The sequence below is a fragment of the Homo sapiens genome, chromosome 4 (assembly GCF_000001405.40).
Source record: "Homo sapiens chromosome 4, GRCh38.p14 Primary Assembly".
NCBI lineage: Eukaryota > Metazoa > Chordata > Mammalia > Primates > Hominidae > Homo > Homo sapiens.
Window position 1 is genome coordinate 145,014,863 of NC_000004.12, and position 19,540 is coordinate 145,034,402.

At 40.1% G+C, this 19,540-nt stretch overlaps 1 protein-coding gene across 19 annotated transcripts in view; it reads right to left on the reverse strand.

Annotated features, from left to right (window-relative positions):
- Window positions 1-19,540, reverse strand: part of ANAPC10 (anaphase promoting complex subunit 10) — a 103,997-nt gene that overhangs the window by 20,288 nt on the left and 64,169 nt on the right. For 3 of the 19 annotated variants that reach the window (XM_011531525.3, XM_017007642.2, XM_017007641.2), the window contains one exon: window positions 17,651-18,509. The exons of the other annotated variants lie outside the window; for them this stretch is intronic. In XM_011531525.3, the coding sequence (XP_011529827.2) occupies window positions 18,408-18,509 (102 nt within the window). In that variant the 3' untranslated portion in view covers window positions 17,651-18,407. Of the gene's footprint in view, window positions 1-17,650; window positions 18,510-19,540 lie in introns of those variants that run through there. 19 annotated transcript variants of the gene reach the window in all.

Below are 19,540 nucleotides of genomic sequence, written 5' to 3' on the forward strand. Positions count from 1 at the left end.
AAGCCACATCCATAGGAAAACGGGGAGAGTGCTACATCAAGGGAACAGCCCATGGGACAAAAGAATCTGAACAATAGCCTTCAGCCCTAGACCTTCCCTCTGACAGAGGCTATGCAAATGAGAAAGAACCAGAAAACCAACCCTGGTAATATGACAAAACAAGGCTCCTTAACACCCCCCAAAAAATCATATTGGCTCACCAGCAGTGGATCCAAACCAAAAAGAAATCCCTGACTTACCTGAAAAAGAATTTGGGAGGTTAGTTATTAAGCTATTTCGAGAGGCACCAGAGAAAGGCAAAGCCCAATGCAAGGAAATCCAAAAAATGATACAAGAAGTGAAAGGAGAGATATTCAAGGAAATAGATAGCATAAAGAAAAAACAATCAAACTTCAGGACGCATTGGATATACTTATAGAAATGCAAAATGCTCTGGAAAGTCTCAGCAATAGAAATGAACAAGCAGAAGAAAGAAATTCAGAGCTTGAAGACAAGGTCTTTGAATTAACCCAACCAAACAAAGACAAAGAAAAAAGAATAAGAAAATATGAACAAAGTCTCCGAGAAGTCCAGGATTATGTGAAACAACCAAACTTAAGAATAATCGGTGTTCCTGAAGAAGAAGAGAAATCTAAAAGCTGAAAAAACGTATTTGGGGGAATAATCAAGGAAAACTTCCTGGCCTTGCTAGAGACCTACACATCCAAATACAAGAAGCACAAAGAACACCTGGAAAATTCCTCACAAAAAGATCATCACCTAGGCACACTGTCATCAGGTAATGTAAAGTTAAGACAAAGGAAAGAATCTTAAGAGCTGTGAGACAAAAGTACCAGGTAACCTATAAAGGTAAACCTATTAGATTAACAGCAGATTTCTCAGCAGAAACTCTACAAGCTAGAAGAGATTAGGGCCCTATCTTCAGCTTCCTCAAACAAAATTATCAGCCAAGAATTTTGTATCCAGTGAAACTAAGCATCAAATATGAAGGAAAGATACAGTGTTTTCCAGACAAACAAGTGCTGACAAAATTCACCACTGCCAAGCCACCATTACAAGAACTGCTGAAAGGAGCTCGAAACCTTAAAACAAATCCTGGAAACACATCAAAACAGAACCTCTTTAAAGCACAAATCTCACAGCCAATATCATACTGAATGGGCAAAAACTGGAAGCATTCCCTTTGAAAACTGGCACGAGACAGGGATGCCCTCTCTCACCACTCCTATTCAACATAGTGTTGGAAGTTCTGGCCAGGGCAATCAGGCAGGAGAAAGAAATAAAGGGTATTCAATTAGGAAAAGAAGAAGTCAAATTGTCCCTGTTTGCAGATGACATGATTGTATATTTAGAAAACCCCACCGTCTCAGCCCAAAATCTCCTTAAGCTAATAAGCAACTTCAGCAGAGTCTCAGGATACAAAATCAATGTGCAAAAATCACAAGCATTCTTATACACCAATAACAAACAAACAGAGAGCCAAATCATGAGTGAACTCCCATTCACAATTGCCTCAAAGACAATAAAATACCTAGGAATCCAACTTACAAGGGATGTGAAGGACCTCTTCAAGGAGAACTACAAACCACTGCTGAACAAAATAAAAGAGGACACAAACAAATGGAAGAACATTCCATGCTCATGGATAGGAAGAATCAATATTGTGAAAATGGCCATATTGCCCAAGGTAATTTATAGATTCAATGCCATCCACATCAAGCTACCAATGACTTTCTTCACAGAATTGGAAAAAACTACTTTAAAGTTCATATGGAACCAAAAGGGAGTCCACATTGCCAAGTCAATCCTAAGCAAAAAGAACAAAGCTGGAGGCATCATGCTACCTCACTTCAAACTATACTACAAGGCTACAGTAACCAAAACAGCATGGTACTGGTACCAAAACAGATATACAGACCAATGCAACAGAACAGAGCCCTCAGAAATAATACCACACATCTACAACCATCTGATGTTTGACAAACCTGACAAAAACAAGAAATGGGGAAAGGATTCCCTATTTAATAAATGGTGTTGGGAAAACTGGCTAGCCATATGTAGAAAGCTGAAACTGGATCCCTTCCTTACACCTTACACAAAAATTAATTCAAGATGGATTAAAGACTTAAATGTTAGACCTAAACCCATAAAAACCCTAGAAGAAAACCTAGGCATTACCATTCAGGACATAGGCATGGGCAAGGACTTCATGTCTAAAACACCAAAAGCAATCGCAACAAAAGCCAAAATTGACAAATGGGATCTAATTAAACTAAAGAGCTTCTGCACAGCAAAAGAAACTACCATCGGAGTAAACAGGCAACCTACAGAATTGGAGAAAATTTTTGCAATCTACTCATCTGACAAAGGGCTAATATCCAGAATCTACAAAGAACTCAAACAAATTTACAAGAAAAAAAAACAACCCCATCAAAAAGTGGGTGAAGGATATGAACAGACACTTCTCAAAAGAAGACATTTATGCAGTCAACAGACACATGAAAAAATGCTCATCATCACTGGTCATCAGAGAAATGCAAATCAAAACCACAATGAGATACTATCTCACACCAGTTAGAATGGCGATCATTAAAAAGTCAGGAAACAACAGGTGCTGGAGAGGATGTGGAGAAATAGGAACACTTTTCCACTGTTGGTCAGACTGTGAACTAGTTCAACCATTGTGGAAGACAGGGTGGCAATTCCTCAGGGATCTAGAACTAGAAATACCATTTGACCCAGCCATCCCATTACTGGGTATATACCCAAAGGAATATAAATCATGCTGCTATAAAGACACATGCACACGTATGTTTATTGCAGCACTACTCACAATAGCAAAGACTTGGAACCAACCCAAATTGTCCAATGATAGACTGGATTAAGAAAATGTGGCACATACACACCATGGAATACTATGCACCCATAAAAAAGGATGAGTTCATGTCCTTTGTAGGGACATGGATGAAGATGGAAACCATCATTCTCAGCAAACTATCTCAAGGATAAAAAACCAAACACCGTGTGTTCTCACTGATAGCTGGGAACTGAAAAATGAGAATACTTGGACACAGGAAGGGAAACATCACACACCGGGGCCTGTTGTGGGGTGGGGGGAGGGGGGAGGGATAGCATTAGGTGGTATACCTAATGTAAATGACGAGTTAATGGGTGCAGCACACCAACATGGCACATGTATACATATGTAACAAACCTGCACGTTGTGCACATGTACCCTAGAACTTAGAGTATAATAAAAAAAATATATATATATATAAATAAAATAAAGCACAAATCTCACAGGACCTATAAAACAAAAATAGAATTTAAAAAGCAAAAACAAAAACCAAAAAATCAAGGTATACAGGCAACAAATAGCATGATGAATGGAATGGTACCTCACATCTCAATACTAACATTGAATGTAAATGGCCTAAATGCTCCATTTAAAAGATGCAGTACTACAGAATGGATAAGCATTCACCAACTGGCCGGGCACCGCGGCTCACACCTATAATCCCAAGGCTTTGGGAGGCTCAGGCGGGCAGATTACTTGAGGTCAGGAATTTGAAACCAGCCTAACCAACATGGTGAAACCCCATCTCTACTAAAAATACAAAAAAAAATAAGCCAGGCATGGTGGCAGGCACCTATAATCCCAACTACTTAGGAGGCTGAGGCAGGAGAATTGCTTTAACCTGAGAGGCAGAGTTTGCAGTGAGCCGAGATCGTGCCATTGCACTCAGCCTGGGTGACAGAGCGAGACTCCATCTCAAAATCTCGAAATCTAAAAAAAAAAAAAAAATTTCACCAACCAATTGTCTGCCACCTTCAAGAGACTCACATAACACACAAGGAATCATATAAACTTAAAGTAAAGGAGTGGAAAAAGGCATTTCATGTAAATGGACACCAAAAGTGAGCAGGGGTAGCTATTCTTATGTCAGACAAAACAAACGTTAAAGCAATGGCAGTTAAAAAAGACAAAGAGGGACATTAAATAATGGTAAAAGGCCTTGTCCAACAGGAAAATACCACAATCCTAAACATATATGCACATAACACTGGAGTCCCCAAATTTATAAAACAATTACTAATAGACCTAAAAAATGAGATAGACAGCAACACCATAACAGTGGGGGACTTAAATACTCCACTGACAGCACTAGACAGGTCATCAAGACAGAAAGTCAACAAATAAACAATGGATTTAAACTAGACCTTGGAACAAATGGACTTAACAGCTATATACAGAACATTCCATCCAAGAACCACAGAATACACAATCTATTCAATAGCGCATGGGACTTTCTCCAAGATGGACCACATGATAGGCCACAAAATGAGCTGTAATAAATTTAAGAAAACTGAAATTATATCAAGGACTCTCTCAGACCACAGTGGAATAAAACTGGAAATCAATTCCAAAAGGAACCTTCAAAACATGCAAATACATGGAAATTAAATAACCTGCTCCTGAATGATCACTGGACCAAAAATAAAATCATGATGGAAATTATAAAATGTTCAGACTGAATGACAATAGTGACAATCTATAAAAACCTGTGGGATACAGCAAAGGTGGTGCCCAGAGGAAAGTTCATGGTGCTAAATGCCTACATCAAAAAGACTGAAAGAGCACAAACTGACACTCAAAGGTCACACCTCAAGGAACTAGAGAAACACGAACAAACCAAACCCAAACCCAGCAGAAGAAAGGAAATGACCAAGATCAGAGCATAACTAAATGAAACTAAAACAAAATTACAAAAGATAAATGAAACAAAAAGCTGCTTGTTTGAAAAGATAAACTGATAGACCATTAGCAAGATTAACCTAGAAAAGAAGAGAGAAAATCCAAATAACCTCAATAAGAAATGAAACAGGAGACATTACAACTCACACCACAGAAATACAAAAGATCATTCAAGGCTACTATGAATATGTTTATGGGCATAAACTTGAAAACCTAGAAGAGACAGATAAATTCCTGGAGGTGTACACCCCTCCCAGCTTAAATCAGGAAGAATTAGATACCCTAAACAGACCAATAACAAGCAACAAGATTGAAATGGTAATTTAAAAATTATCAACAAAAAAAAAGGCCAGGCCCAGAAATTCACAGCAGAATTCTACCAGACTTTCAAAGAAGAATTGGTACCGATCCTACTGACACTATTCCACAAGACAGAGAAAGAGGGAACCCTCCCTAATTCATTCTATGAAGCCAGCATCACCCTAATACCAAAACCAGGAAAGGACATAACCAGAAAGAAAACCACAGACCCATATCCCTGATGAACATAAATGCTAAAATCCTTAACAAAATACTAGCTAACTGAATCCAACAACATACCAAAAAGATAAACTACCACGAGCAAGTGGGTTTCATGCCAGGGATGCAGGGATGGTTTAACATCCACAAGTCAATAAATGTGATACACCACATAAACAGAATGAAAACAAAAATCACATGATCATCTCACCAGATGCAGAAAAAGCATTTGACAAAATCCAGCATCCCTTTATGATTAAAACTCAGCAAAATCGGCATAAAGGAACATACCTCAATGTAATAAAAGCCATCTATGACAAACCCACAGCAAATATAATACTGAATGGCAAAAAGTTGAAAGCATTCCCTCTGAGAACTGGAACAAAACAAGGATGCCCACTCTCACCACTCGTCTTCAACATAGTACTGGAAGTCCTATCCAGAGCAATCAAACAAGCGAAAGAAATAAAGGACATCCAAATCAGTAAAGAGGAAGTCAAACTGTCACTGTTTACTGACAATATAATCGTTTACCTCAAAAATCCTAAAGACTCCTCCAGAAAGCTCCTAGAACTGACAAAAGAATTCAGTAAAGTTTCCAGATACAAGAATAATGTACACAAATCAGTAGCTCTCCCATACACCAACAGCAACCAACTAGAGAATCGAATCAAGAACTCAATCCTTTTTACAATAGCTGCAAAAAAAAAAATAAAAAAGACAAAGAAAAAAACTTAGGAATATACCTAACCCAGGAGGCAAAAGACCTCTACAAGGAAAACTACAAAACACCACTGAAAGAAATCATAGACAACACAAACAAATGGAAACACATCCCATGTTCATGGAATGGTAGAATCAAAATTGTGAAAATGACCATACCACCAAAAGCAACCTACAAATGGAAACACATCCCATGTTCATGGAATGGTAGAATCAAAATTGTGAAAATGACCATACCACCAAAAGCAACCTACAAATTCACTGCAATCCCCATCAAAATACCATCATCATTCTTCACAGCATTAGAAAAAAAGTACTAAAATTCATAAAGAACCACAAAAAGATTTCACATAGCCAATGCAAGACTAAGCAAAACAACAAATCTGGAGGCATCACACTACCTGATTTCAAACTATATTATAAGGACATAGTCACCAAAACAGCATGGTACTGGTATAAAAATAGGCACATAGGACAATGTAATAGAGTAGAGAACCCATAAATAAACCCAAATACCTACAGCCAAGTGATCTTCAACAACTACACAAAAACATAAAGTGGGGAAAGGACAGCCTATTCAACAAATGGTGCTGGGATAACTGGCTAGACACATATAGGACAATGAAACTGGATCCTCATCTCTCACCTTATATAAAAATCAACTCAAGATGGCTTAAGGACTTAAATCTAACACCTGAAACTATAAAAATTCTAGAAGATTAACGTTGGAAAAACCCTTCTAGACATTGGTTTAGGCAAGGATTTCATGACCAAGAACCCCAAAGCAAATGCAATAAAAACAAAGATAAATTGCTAGGACTTAATTAAACTAAAGAGCTTTTGCATGGCAAAAGGAACAGTCAGCAGAGTAAACAGCCCAGAGTGGGAGAAAATCTTCACAATCTATACATCTGAAAATGGACTAATATCCAGAATCTACAATGAACTCAATCAAATCAGCCAAAAAAAATTAATCCCATCAAAAAGTGGGCTAAGGACATGAATAGACAATTATCAAAAGAAGATATACAAATGGCCAACAAACATACGAAAAAATGCTCAGCATCACTAATGATCAGGCAAATGCGAATTAAAATCACAATGTGACACCACCTTACTTCTGCAGGAATGGCCATAATCAAAAAATCAGTAGATGTTGCTGGGGATGCAGTGATCAGGGAACACTTCTACACTGCTGGAATGTAAACTAGTACAGCCACTATGGAAAACAGTATGGAGATTCCTTAAAGAGCTAAAAGGAGAACTACCATTTGATCCAGCAATCTCAATACTGGGTATCTACCCAGAGTAAATGAAGTCATTATATGAAAAAGATACTTGCACACACGTTTATAGCAGCACAATTCACAATTGCAAAATCATGGAACCAACTCAAATGCCCATCAGTCAACAAGTGGATAAAGAAACTGTGGTATGTATACCACAGTATACATGGTGGGATACTACTCAGCCATAAAAAGGAATGAATTAACGGCATTCGCAGCGACCTGGATGAGATCGGAGACTATTATTCTAAGTGAAGTCACTCAGGAACGGAGAACCAAACATCGTATATTCTCACTGATATGTGGGAGCTAAGCTATGAGGATGCAAAGGCATAAGAATGATACAATGGACTTTGGGGACTTGGGGGAAAGTGGGGGGTGAGGAATACAATACTACAAACAGGGTGGTGCAATGTATACTGCTTGGGTGATGGGTGCACCCAAATCACCACTAAAGAACTTACACATGTAACTAAACATCACCTGTACTCCAATAACCTATGGAAAATTTTTTTTTAATTAAAAAGCATATATAGGCATTCATATATAGAACTTTCTGTGAGCATGTATTTTCATTTCTCTTGGATAAATACCTAACACTGGAATTGTTGGGTCATAGGCAAGTTTAACTTTATAAAAAACTGCCAAACCAAAAAAAAAAAAAAAATTAAAAACAGCATCTTTTTTTTATATTTTAGGATGATTAATATATGAGTCATTCTTTTATGTATTTTTGTATTATTATACTTAAAGTTTTAGGGTACCTGTGCACAACATGCAGGTTTGTTACATATGTTTACATGTGCCATGTTGGTGTGCTGCACCCATTAACTCGTCATTTACATTAGGTATATCTCCTAATGCTAGTTATAACAGCCAGATTATCAAAATACACACCAATAGTCAAGTGGATAAATTGGAGTACATTTACAACATGGAATACTATATAGCAGTGAGGATGAACCATTTGTTAACTACCCAATTGTACCAATGACTGTCACAAACATAAGGCTGAATAAAAGAAGCCAGACACAAAAGAGTATGCACAATATGATTCCATCTATGCAAAGTGAAAAAAAACCAACAAATAACAACAGGCAAACAAAACTTTAGTGAAAGTAATCTATCCTAGAGTCAGAATAACCGTTAGCCTTCAGGAAGTATAAGGATTTTTGTTATAAAATAACACATCCTTAAAATGGTTGACACGGTCCTGCATGATTTTGGTCTCTGCTTACCTCCTCAGCTTTATCTTGAACAGTCCTTTGCCTCACTAACTATATTTTACCTATATAATCTGTAGTAATGCAGAAATAAATTTACACGATGAAGATTTCATTTGTTGTGACAGTTTCAAACTGAACCCTCAAATTCTCTCGGGGAAGGCCCCTGTAGACTTTCAACCAGTTTGCAATAAAGCAAGTCACACAAATTTTTTGGTTTACCAGTGCAAATAAAAGCTGTGTTACACTATACTAGAGTCTATTAAGTATGCAATAGCATTACATCTAAGAAAACAATTTAAGAATGTTTTACTGCTAAAAAGTGCTAACAATCATCTGGGCCTTTAGTGAGTCATAACCTTTTTGCTGGTGTAAGGTCTTGCCTTAATGTTGATGGCTACTGACTGATCAGGGTGGTGTCGCTGAAGGTTTGGGTGGCTGTAGAAATTTCTTAAAATAAGACAACAATGATGGTTGCCACAATGATTGACTCTTCCTTTCATGGAAAATTCATCTGTAGCATGCAATGCTGTTTAGTAGTATTTTACTTAAGGCAAAACTTTCAAAATTGGAGTTGGTCCTTTCAGACCCTGCCATTACTTTTTCAACTAAGTTGATGTAATATTCTAAATCCTTTGTTGTCATTTTGACAATGTGTTCACAGCATCTTTACCAGGAGTAGATTCAACCTCAAGAAACTACTTTCTTTGCTCATCAATAAGATGCAACTCCTCATCAGTTTAAGTTTTATCCATGAGACTGCAGCAATTCAGTCACATCTTTTAGGCTCCAATTCTAATTCTAGTTCTCTTGCTATTTCCAATGCATCTGCAGTTACTTTCTCAACTGAAGTCTTGAACCTCTCAAAGTCATCAATGCAGACTGGAATCAACTTCTTCCAAACTCTTGTTAATGTTCGTATTTTGACCTTCTCACATGAATCATAAATGTTCTTAATGACATCTGGGATGAATCTTTTCCAGAAGATTTTCAATTTACTTTGCCCAGTTCCATCAGAGGAATCACTATGGCAGCTAATGCCTTATGAAATGTATATCTTAAATAATAAGAATTGAAAGTTAAAATAACTCCTTCATCTATAAGCTGCAGAACAGATGTTGTATCAGCAAACATGAAAACATTAATTTCCTTGTACATCTCCATCAAAGCTCTTGGGTGACTAGGTACATTGTCAATGAGCAGTAATATTTTGAAATAAATCTTTTCCTCTGAGCAGTAGGTCTCAACAGTGGGATTAAAATATTCAGGGAACCATGCTTTCAACAGATGTACTCTCATCCAGGCTTTGTTCTTCCATTTATAGCACATGAGTAGAACAGATTTAGCATAATTCTTAAGGGCCCTAGGATTTTTAGAATAGTGAGTGCTGCCTTCAACTTAAAGTCACCAGCTGCATCAGCCCCTAACAAAATCAGCTTGTCTGGTGAAGTTTTCAAGCCAGGCATTGACTTCTCCTCTCTAGCTATGGAAGTCGTAGTTGGCATCTTCTTCCAGCAGAAGGCTGTTTTGTCTACACTGAAAATGTATTGCTTACTGTATCTACCCTCATCAACTATTTTTGCCAGATCTGGGTAACTTGCTACAGCTCCTCCATCAGCACTTGCTGCTTCACTGGGCTCTTTTATGTTATGAAGATGGATTTTTTCCTTAAATCTCATGAACCAACCTCTGCTAGCTTCAAACTCTCTTCTGCAGCTTCCTCACCTCTTAGCCTTTATAGAATTCAAGAGTTAGGGTCTTACTGTGGATTAGGCTTTGACTTAAGGGAATGTTGTGGCTGGTTTGATTTTCTATCCAGAACATTCTTTCTCCATATTAGCAATAAGGCTGTTTTGCTTTCTTATCATTCATGTGTTCACTAGAGTAGCACTTTTAATTTCCTTCAGGAACTTTTCCATTAGAACAAGAGGTTAGCTTTTGGCCTATTTTGGCTTTCAACACGCCCCCCCCCCCTTTTAAGCTCAGTCCTTTCTAGCTTTTGAGTTAAAGTGAGAGATGTGAGACACTTCCTTTCACTTGGACACTTAGAGACCATTGTCAAGTTACTAAATGGCCTAATTTCAATATTGTTGTGTCTCAACCAATAAGGAGGCCCAAGGAGAGGGAGGGAGATGGGAAACGGCTGGTTAGGTGCTGGAGTAGTCAGAACACACACAGTTATCGATTGGGTTTGCCATCTTACATGGGCTTAAGTTCGTGGGGACCCATAACAATGACAATAGTAGCATCAAAGATTATTGATCACAGATGACCGTAACAGGTATAATATTGGTGAAAAAGTTTGAAGTTTGAAATACTACAAGAATTACCAAAATATGACAGTGACATAAAATGAGCACATGCTGCTGGAAAAATGGCACTGATAGACTTGCTCAATGCAGAGTTGCCACAAATCTTCGATTTGTAAAAACACAGTATTTATCAAAGAGAAGTGCAATAAAATGAGGTATGTCTGTAGTGTAAGGAATAGTTAAAGCCCTAGATTCTTACCTGCCCCCAGTGTGAGCAGGCAGTTGATGGTTTCCTTTCCCACTCTTATAGAAAACTAAGGTCTTACCAGTTAGACAGATTAAAGAGGGTCTAGATTCAGGTAAAACAAGACTAGATGGCAGCACCTGAATATAAAGCGAACTGTACAACTGGACATTTAACAGTAAAATCTCACCTCCCTTCCTCTTGCTCAGCTACGAGAACACTGACTCCTAGGCAGATCACTTTGTAGTTTCCTACAAATCTCACCTCCCATCCCTTGCCACGTGCCCCAGGCCAGAGAATGCATTATTATTTTATGGGCAAAATGAAAATCCGTAAGAAAAGACCTATACATAATGATGTGTGAATGTCCTCAATTTAACATTTATTGATTGACTGAATGACTATTTTGTGCAGGGCACTATTCTCATTGGTTGGAATATATCAGTGAAACCAAGAACAACAACAAAATCCCTGTTCTCTTGTAAGTGATGTTCTAGTAATAAACGTAATCGATAAGTGATTACATAGCATATAAGTATAAAAAGTGCATGGGAAAAAAACAGAGCAGGAAAAGACAGAGCTGAAGTATTAGGGGCAGATGTGTACAGCTTTAAATAAGGTGGTCAGAATAGGCCTCAATGAGAAAGTGATGTGTGCAAAGACTGGAAGGAGGTGAGGCTTCCAGACTGGCTACACTATAGGAGGCCCACCAAGAACAAATTCTATGAACACAAATGGTTCCAAACTTATTATCTGTGCCTCACTCTTAAATAAGAGAAAATAGTCAAGGATCTCCTGGTATGTAAGAAACAAGACAAAATAAGACAGAAATTGAAAGCAGCAAGCAAACAAAGACAAAAAAAGGAACTCCAAAGAGAGGCAGTGAAGAAGTACAAGAATTTAAAAAACAAAAACAAAGCATCATTAATATCCTCAGTGATATAACATATTGCATCCATGAAACAAGAACAGAATGTTAATTTTTAAAATGGTCAAAGAACAAGAAGAAGTCTTAGAAATTTATATATACAAATGAAGTTTTTGCCTATACATACATATATATATATATATATATATATATGTGTGTGTGTGTATATATATATATATATATATATATATATATTTTTTTTTTTTTTTTTTTTTTTTTTTTTTTTTTGAGACAGAGTCTTACTCTGTCTCCCAGGCTGGAGTGCAGTGGCATGATCTTGGCTCACTGCAACCTCTGCCACCTGGGTTCAAGCAATTCTCATGCCTCAGCCTCCCGAGTAGCTGAGACTACAGGCGAGTGCCACCACACTCGGCTAATTTTTGTATTTTTAGTAGAGATGGGATTTTGCCATGTTGGCCAGGCTAGTCTTGAACTCTTCACCTCAGGTGATCTGCCCGCCTCAGCCTCTTAGAGTGCTGAGATTACAGGCGTGAGCCACCACACCTGGCCAAAAACTTCTTAATTTAATAGAAGTTAAATGAATTGGAAGACAGGAAAACAAAAGAAGTAGAAAATGAGAAAATTAGGGGTCTAATGCAGGAGGTTATCATAGCTAATAAATGTGAATTCAGATAGAGAGCACAGAGAAAACTATTAAAAACTATCAAAGAACACAAGAGTGTCTCCAGGACTCAGGGACAGGTATCTTCAAATTGATAGAAACCATTGAGCACCCTGCACAATAAAGGAAACACATATGCAATAAGGCACAGCATCATGAATTTTCAGAATATCAAGGATAAGGAGATTATAAAAGCTACTTGAGAGAAAAATAGATCACATGCAAAGCATCAGAAATTAAAAGTGGCATTGTATTTCTCAACATTTACGCCAAAACTATGAGGCAATGGAGAATGTGTTTAAAATTCTGAGAGCAAATTATTTCCAAACTAGAATTCCATACCTAGCCAAATCATCCCTTGAGGGTGAGATTAAAATAAAGTTTTCAGTCATGCAAGGTTTCAACAATTTACCTCCCATGTGGAGGATGTAGTCCACCAATAAAGGAAGTAAACCAAGAATGATGAAGACCTGGGATCCAGAAATAAGAGGTCTCCCAAAAGAAAAAGTGAAGGAAATTCCCAGGATGATCTTAAAGGGATGTCTTAAGAATACAGCTGTGTCTGAGAAGCAGACACCAAGACAGGGTTAGAAATACAAGAAATTTAGTAGGGGAAATATCTGTAAGAGAAAATGGGGAGGGAGCCAGGGGAAGCTGAAAGAGCTGTTAGATGGTGTGATGGTTAATACCGAGTGTCAACTTAATTGGATTGGGGGATACAAAGTATTAATCCTGGGTGTGCCTGTGTGTGTGTTGCCAAAAGAGATTAACATTTGAGTTAGTGGTCTGAGGAAGGCAGATCCAGCCTTAATCTGGTGGGCACAATCTAATCAGCTTCCAGCGAATATAAAGCAGGCAGAAAAATGTGAAAAGGAGAGACGAGCCTAGCCTCCCAGCCTGCATCTTTCTCCCATGATGGATGCTTCCTGCCTTCGAACATAGGACTCCCAAGTTGCTCAGTTTTGAGACTTGGGCTGGTTCTCCTTGCTCTTCAGCTTGCAGACAGCCTATTGTGGTACCTTGTGTGTAACTTAATGCTTAAGAAACTCATATCATATATATACATATCTCCCATTAGCTCTTTCCCTCAAAAAGAACCATGACTAATACAGCTTTTGGTACCAGGAGTGGTTCTAGAGGAACAGAATATTAAGGATGGGGTTGTTTCATTGGTTTTGAGGTTTCTGGAGTTGGCTGCTTAATATGATTAGACCCAAAACTGCTAAGGACTCTACTTCAAATAGTATGGAAAATACTGATAGTCCTTGGTGTAAACTGTTTAGAGAGTTATGCAAAATAAATGTGTTTGACACTTGATTCACCACTCTTGAGCGGCAAGGAGTTTAATGACACTACACATAATACCTTTGACCATATGTGGAGAACCAAGGAACATAATGAAGCTGGTTGGTTGCTCCTAAGTTCAGTGGACAAAGTGATGAAAGAAAATGATGAACTCAGGGATTCTAACTCCTGGCTTCAGAAGCAGGTATTAACCCCTCAAATCTGCTAAGACTGCCCTAAGTGGGAGTCTTAACTCCTGTAGAGAAAAAGCTGAAATTGTGGAAAAACAGACACAATCTCTTACCATGTGAGTGGCTGACCTGCAACGAAAGATGCATGTACAGCCTCGCCAGGTGTCTACTGTTAAAGTGAGGGCATTGATTGGAAAAGAATGGGACCCTGAAACTTGGAATTAGGAAGAGTGGGAGGACTCTGATGAAGCTGGGGACACTGAGTTCGTAAACTCTGATGAGGTTTTTTGCCAGAAGAAAGAGCTTCACCATCCCCAGTAGTGGCAACATCCCCTCCCCGACCCACACTGCCATCAGTCTTTCCACCTTTGTCTGAGAAGATAAACCCTGTGCTGCCTGAAGCAACAGTTATGATCTGAGGTAGCTGCCAGGCAAGAAAATGTTGATTCTCCTCAGGAGCCACCCCCGACACCCTTGTTTGCTTCTAGACCTATAATTAGACTAAAGTCCTGGCAGGACCCTGGAGGTGAAGTTGAGAGTGTGATCCATGAGGAGGTGCACTACAACTGAAAAGAACTGTTTGAGTTCTCTAATTAATATAAACAGAAATCTAGAGAACAAGCATGGGAATGGATATTAAAGGTATGGATAATGGTGGAAGGAACATAAGAGTTGTATCAGGCTGAATTTATTGATTTGGGCCCAGTAAGTAGGGACTCTGCTTTTAATGTTGCAGCTCAAGGAGTTAAAAAAGGTTCTAATAGGTTATTTCCTTGGTTAGCTGAAATATGGATTAAAAAATGGCCCACTGTGAGAGAGGTGGAAATACCTGATCTCCCTTTGTTTAATGTAGAGGAAGGGATCCAAAAGCTTAGGGAGATTGGGATGGGGTAGTGGATTAGTCACTTTAGACCTACTCATCCCAGCTGGGAGGGTCCAGAAGATATACCCTTGACCAATGCCTTGCAAAACAGATTTGTGAGGGCAGCACCCCCATTTTTGAAGAGCCCTATAATTGCTCTTCTCTGTATGTCAGATCTAACGATGAGAACCACGGTCACTCAACTACAAAATTTAAATAAAATGGGAATAATTGAATCCCAAGGTGGCAGGCGCTAAGTGGCAGCACTCAATCATCAAAGGCAAGGTAGGCATAGCTACTGTAATGGACAGCAGAGGCAAAGCAGCAATCAGAATAGTCTGACTTGTGTAGAGCTTTGGCATTGGCTAATTAATCATGGTGTTCCTAGAAGTGAAATTGATAGGAAGCCTACTGCATTCCTACTTAACTTATACAAACAGAAAACTTCTAGGTCGAATGGACAAAGGACTAATCTGAATTATAAAAACAGAGAATCACAGCCTCTCAATTTCCAGACTTGAGCCAGTTTACAGACCAGAACCCCTTGAATGAAGGAGAGGCCAGGTCCCCTTGGGGAAGGACCCCACTACATTACCAACAATTTATACAGTGAATCTTTCTCCCATCCTTCCCCAAGAAGACCTCTGGCCTTGTACCAAGGTAACTGCACTGGGGAAAGGGAAATAATCAGGCATTTTGGGGACTACTGGACACTGGCTCTGAGCTGACATTGATTCCAGGGGACCCAAAGAGTCATTTCGGTCCTCCAGTTAAAGCAGTTAAAGTAGGGGCTTACAGAGGTCAGGTAATTAATGGAGTTTTAGCTTAGGTCTGACTTACACTGGGTCCAGTGGGTCCCCAGACTCATCCTGTGGTCATTTCCCCAGTGCCAGAATGCATAATTGGCATAGACATACTTAGCAGCTGGCAGAACCCCCACATTGGCTCCCTGACTGGTAGGGTGAGAACTATCATGGTGGGAAAGGCCAAATGGAAGCCAATAGAGCTACCTTTACTTAGAAAAATAGTAAATCAAAAACAGTATCACATCCCTGGAGGGGTTGCAAAGATTAGTGCCACCATCAAGGACTTGAAGGACGTGGGGGTGGTAATTCCCACCACATCCCCGTTCAACTCTCCCATCTGGCCTGTGCAGAAGACAGATGGATCCTGGAGAAAGTGGATTATCGTAAGCTTAACCAAGTGGTGACTCCAATTGCAGCTGCTGTACCAGATGTGGTTTCATTGCTTGAGCATATTAATATATCCCCTGGTATCTGGTATCCAACCATTGACTTGGCAAATGCCTTTTTCTCCATTCCTGTCCATAAGGCCCACCAGAAGCAATTTGCCTTCAGCTAGCAAGGCCAGCAATTTACCTTACTGTCCTACCTCACGGGTATATCAACTCTCTGGCTTTGTGTCATAATCTTATTCGAAGAGACCTTGATCACTTTTCCCTTCCACAAGATATCACACTGGTCCATTACATTGATGACATTGTGCTGACTGGATCCAGTGAGCAAGAAGTAGCAAATACACTGGACTTATTGGTGAGACATTTGCATGCCAGAGGATGGGAAATAAATCCAACTAAAATTCCGGGACCGTCGACCTCAGTAAAATTTCTAGGGGTCCAGTTGTGTGGGTCTTGTTAAGATATTCCTTCTAAGGTGAAGGATAAGTTGCTGCATTTGGCCCCTCCTACAACCAAGAAAGAGGCACGACACCTAGTGGGTCTAATTGGATTCTGAAGGCAACACATTTCTCATTTGAATGTGTTACTCCAGCCCACTTATCGAGTGACCTGAAAGGCTGACAGTTTTGAGTGGGGTCCAGAACAGGAGAAGGCTCTGCAACAGGTCCAGGCTGCTGTGCAAGCTGCTCTGCCACTTGGGCCATATAACTCAGCAGATCCAATAGTGCTTGAGGTATCAGTGGCAGATAGGGATGCTGTTTGGAGCCTTTGGCAGGCCCCCATAGTGAATCACAGTGGAGGCCTCTTGGATTTCACAGCAAGGGCCTGCCATCTTTTGCAAATAACTACTCTCCTTTTGAGAGACATCTCTTGACTGGGCTTTGGTGGAAACTGAATGTTTGACTATGGGTCATCAAGTCACCATGCAACCTGAACTGACTATCATGAACTGGGCGCTTTCTGACCCATCTAACTATAAAGTGGGTTGTGCACAGCAGCATTCCATTATCAAATGGAAGTGGTATATACGTGATCAGGCTCGAGCAGGTCCGGAAGGCACAAGTTACATGAGGAAGTGGCTCGAATGCCCATGTTCTCCACTCCTGCCACCCTGACATCTCTCCCCCAGCCTGCACCGATGGCCTCATGGGAGTTTCCTATGATCAACTGGCAGAGGAAGAGAAGACCAGGACCTGGTTCACAGATGGTTCTGCATGATATGCAGGCACCACCTGCAAGTGGACAGCTGCAGCACTACAGCCCCTTTCTAGGACATCCCTGAAGGACAGCGGTGAAAGGAAATCTTCCCAGTGGGCAGAACTTCGAGCAGTGCACCTGATCATGCACTTTGCATGGAAGGAGAAATGGCCGGATGTACAATTATACACTGATTCATGGGCTGTAGCCAATGGATCGGCTGGATGGTCAGGGACTTGGAAGAATCATGATTGGAAAATTGGTGACCAAGAAATTTAGGGAAGAGGTATGTGGATGGGCCTCTCTTGAGTGGTCAAAAGCTGAATATATTTGTATCCCATATGAGTGCTCGCCAACAAGTGACCTCAGCAAAGAAGGAGTTTAATAATCACATGGATAGGATGACCCGTTCTGTGGACACCACACAACCTCTTTCCCCAGCCACCACTGTCATCGCCCAATGGGCCCATGAACAAAGCAGCCATGGTAGCAGGAATGGAGGTTACACATGGGCTCAGCAACATGGACTTCCACTCACCAAGGCTGACGTGGCTACGGCCACTGATGAATGCCCAATTTGCCAGCAGCAGAGACCAACACTGAGCCCTTGATGTGGCACCATTCCTCAGAGTGATCAGCCAGCTACCTGGTGGCAGGTTGATTATATTGGACTTCTTCCATCATGGAAACGGCAGAGGTTTGTCTTCACTGGAATAGACACTTACCAGATATGGTTTTGCCTATCCTGCATGCAATGCTTCTGCCAAGACTACCAACCGTGGACTCACAGAATGCCTTATCCATTGTCATGGTATTCCACACAGCATTGCCTCTGACTTTACAGCTAAAGAAGTATGGCAGTGGGCACATGCTCATGGAATTCACTGGTCTTACCATGTTCCCCATCATCCTGAAGCAGCTGGATAGACAGAATGGTGGAATAGCCTTTTGAAGTCACAATCACAATGCCAACTAGATGACAATACTTTGCAGGACTGGGGCAAAGTTCTCCAGAAGGCTGTGTATGCTCTGAATCAGGGTCCAATATATGGTACAGTTTCTCCCATAGCCAGGATTCACAGTTCCAGGAATCAAGGGGTGGAAGTGAAAATGGTACCACCATCACCCCTGGTGATCCACTGGCAACATTTTTGCTTCCTGTTCCCACGACATTACGTTCTGCTGGCCTAGACGTCTTAGTTTCAGAGGGAGGAACGCTGCCACCTGGAGACACAACAACGATTCCATTAAACTGGAAGTTAAGATTGCCACCTGTACACTTTGGGCTCCTCTTACCTTTAAGTCAATAGGCTAAAAAGGGAGTTACAGTGTTGGCTGGGATGACTGACCTGGACTATCAAGATGAAATCAGTCTACTACTCCACAATGGAAGTAAGGAAGAATATGCATGGAATACAGGAGATCCATTAGGACATCTCTTAATATTACTATGCCCTGTGATTAAGGTCAATGGGAAACTACAACAGCCCAATCCAGGCAGGACTACAAATGACCCAGACCCTTCAGGAACAAAGCTTTGGGTCACTCCACCAGGAAAAAAAATCCATGACCTGATGAGGTGCTTGCTGAAGGCAAAGGGAATACAGAACGGGTAGTAGAAGAAGGCAGTCATCAATACCAGCTACAATCTTGTGACCAGCTGCAGAAATGAGGACTGTAACTGTCATGAGTTCCTTCTGCTTTTGTTAAAAACATGTTTATGCATGTATAGACTTGTACTAAGAAAATATCTTCATTTTATTTCCTTTTCCTTTATCAAGTGACGTAAGATTTACAGACTTCACATCAGCATTTAAGTATTGTTAACTTCATGTATGTACTAGTATTTGGGTTGGGGATTGATGCATTTCTGGTTGTACGAAGGATAGTTGTATTATGTTAGGCATAATTATGACCCAATATTGTCTTTATATGAAGATTATGTAGGATCTCAGCAGATACATATAGGTTCAAGTTGACAAGGGGTAGACTTGCGATGGTTAATACTGAAAGTCAACTTGATTGGATTGAGGGATACAAAGTATTAATCCTGGGTATGCCTGTGTCGGTGTTACCAAAAGAGATTAACATCTGAGTCACTGGGCTGAGAAAGGCAGATCCACCCTTAATCTAGTGGGCACAATCTAATCAGCTTCCAGTGAATATAAAGCAGGCAGAAAAAATATGAAAAGGAGAGATGGGCCTAGGCTCCCAGCCTGCATCTTTCTCCTGAGCTGGATGCCTCCTGCCCTTGA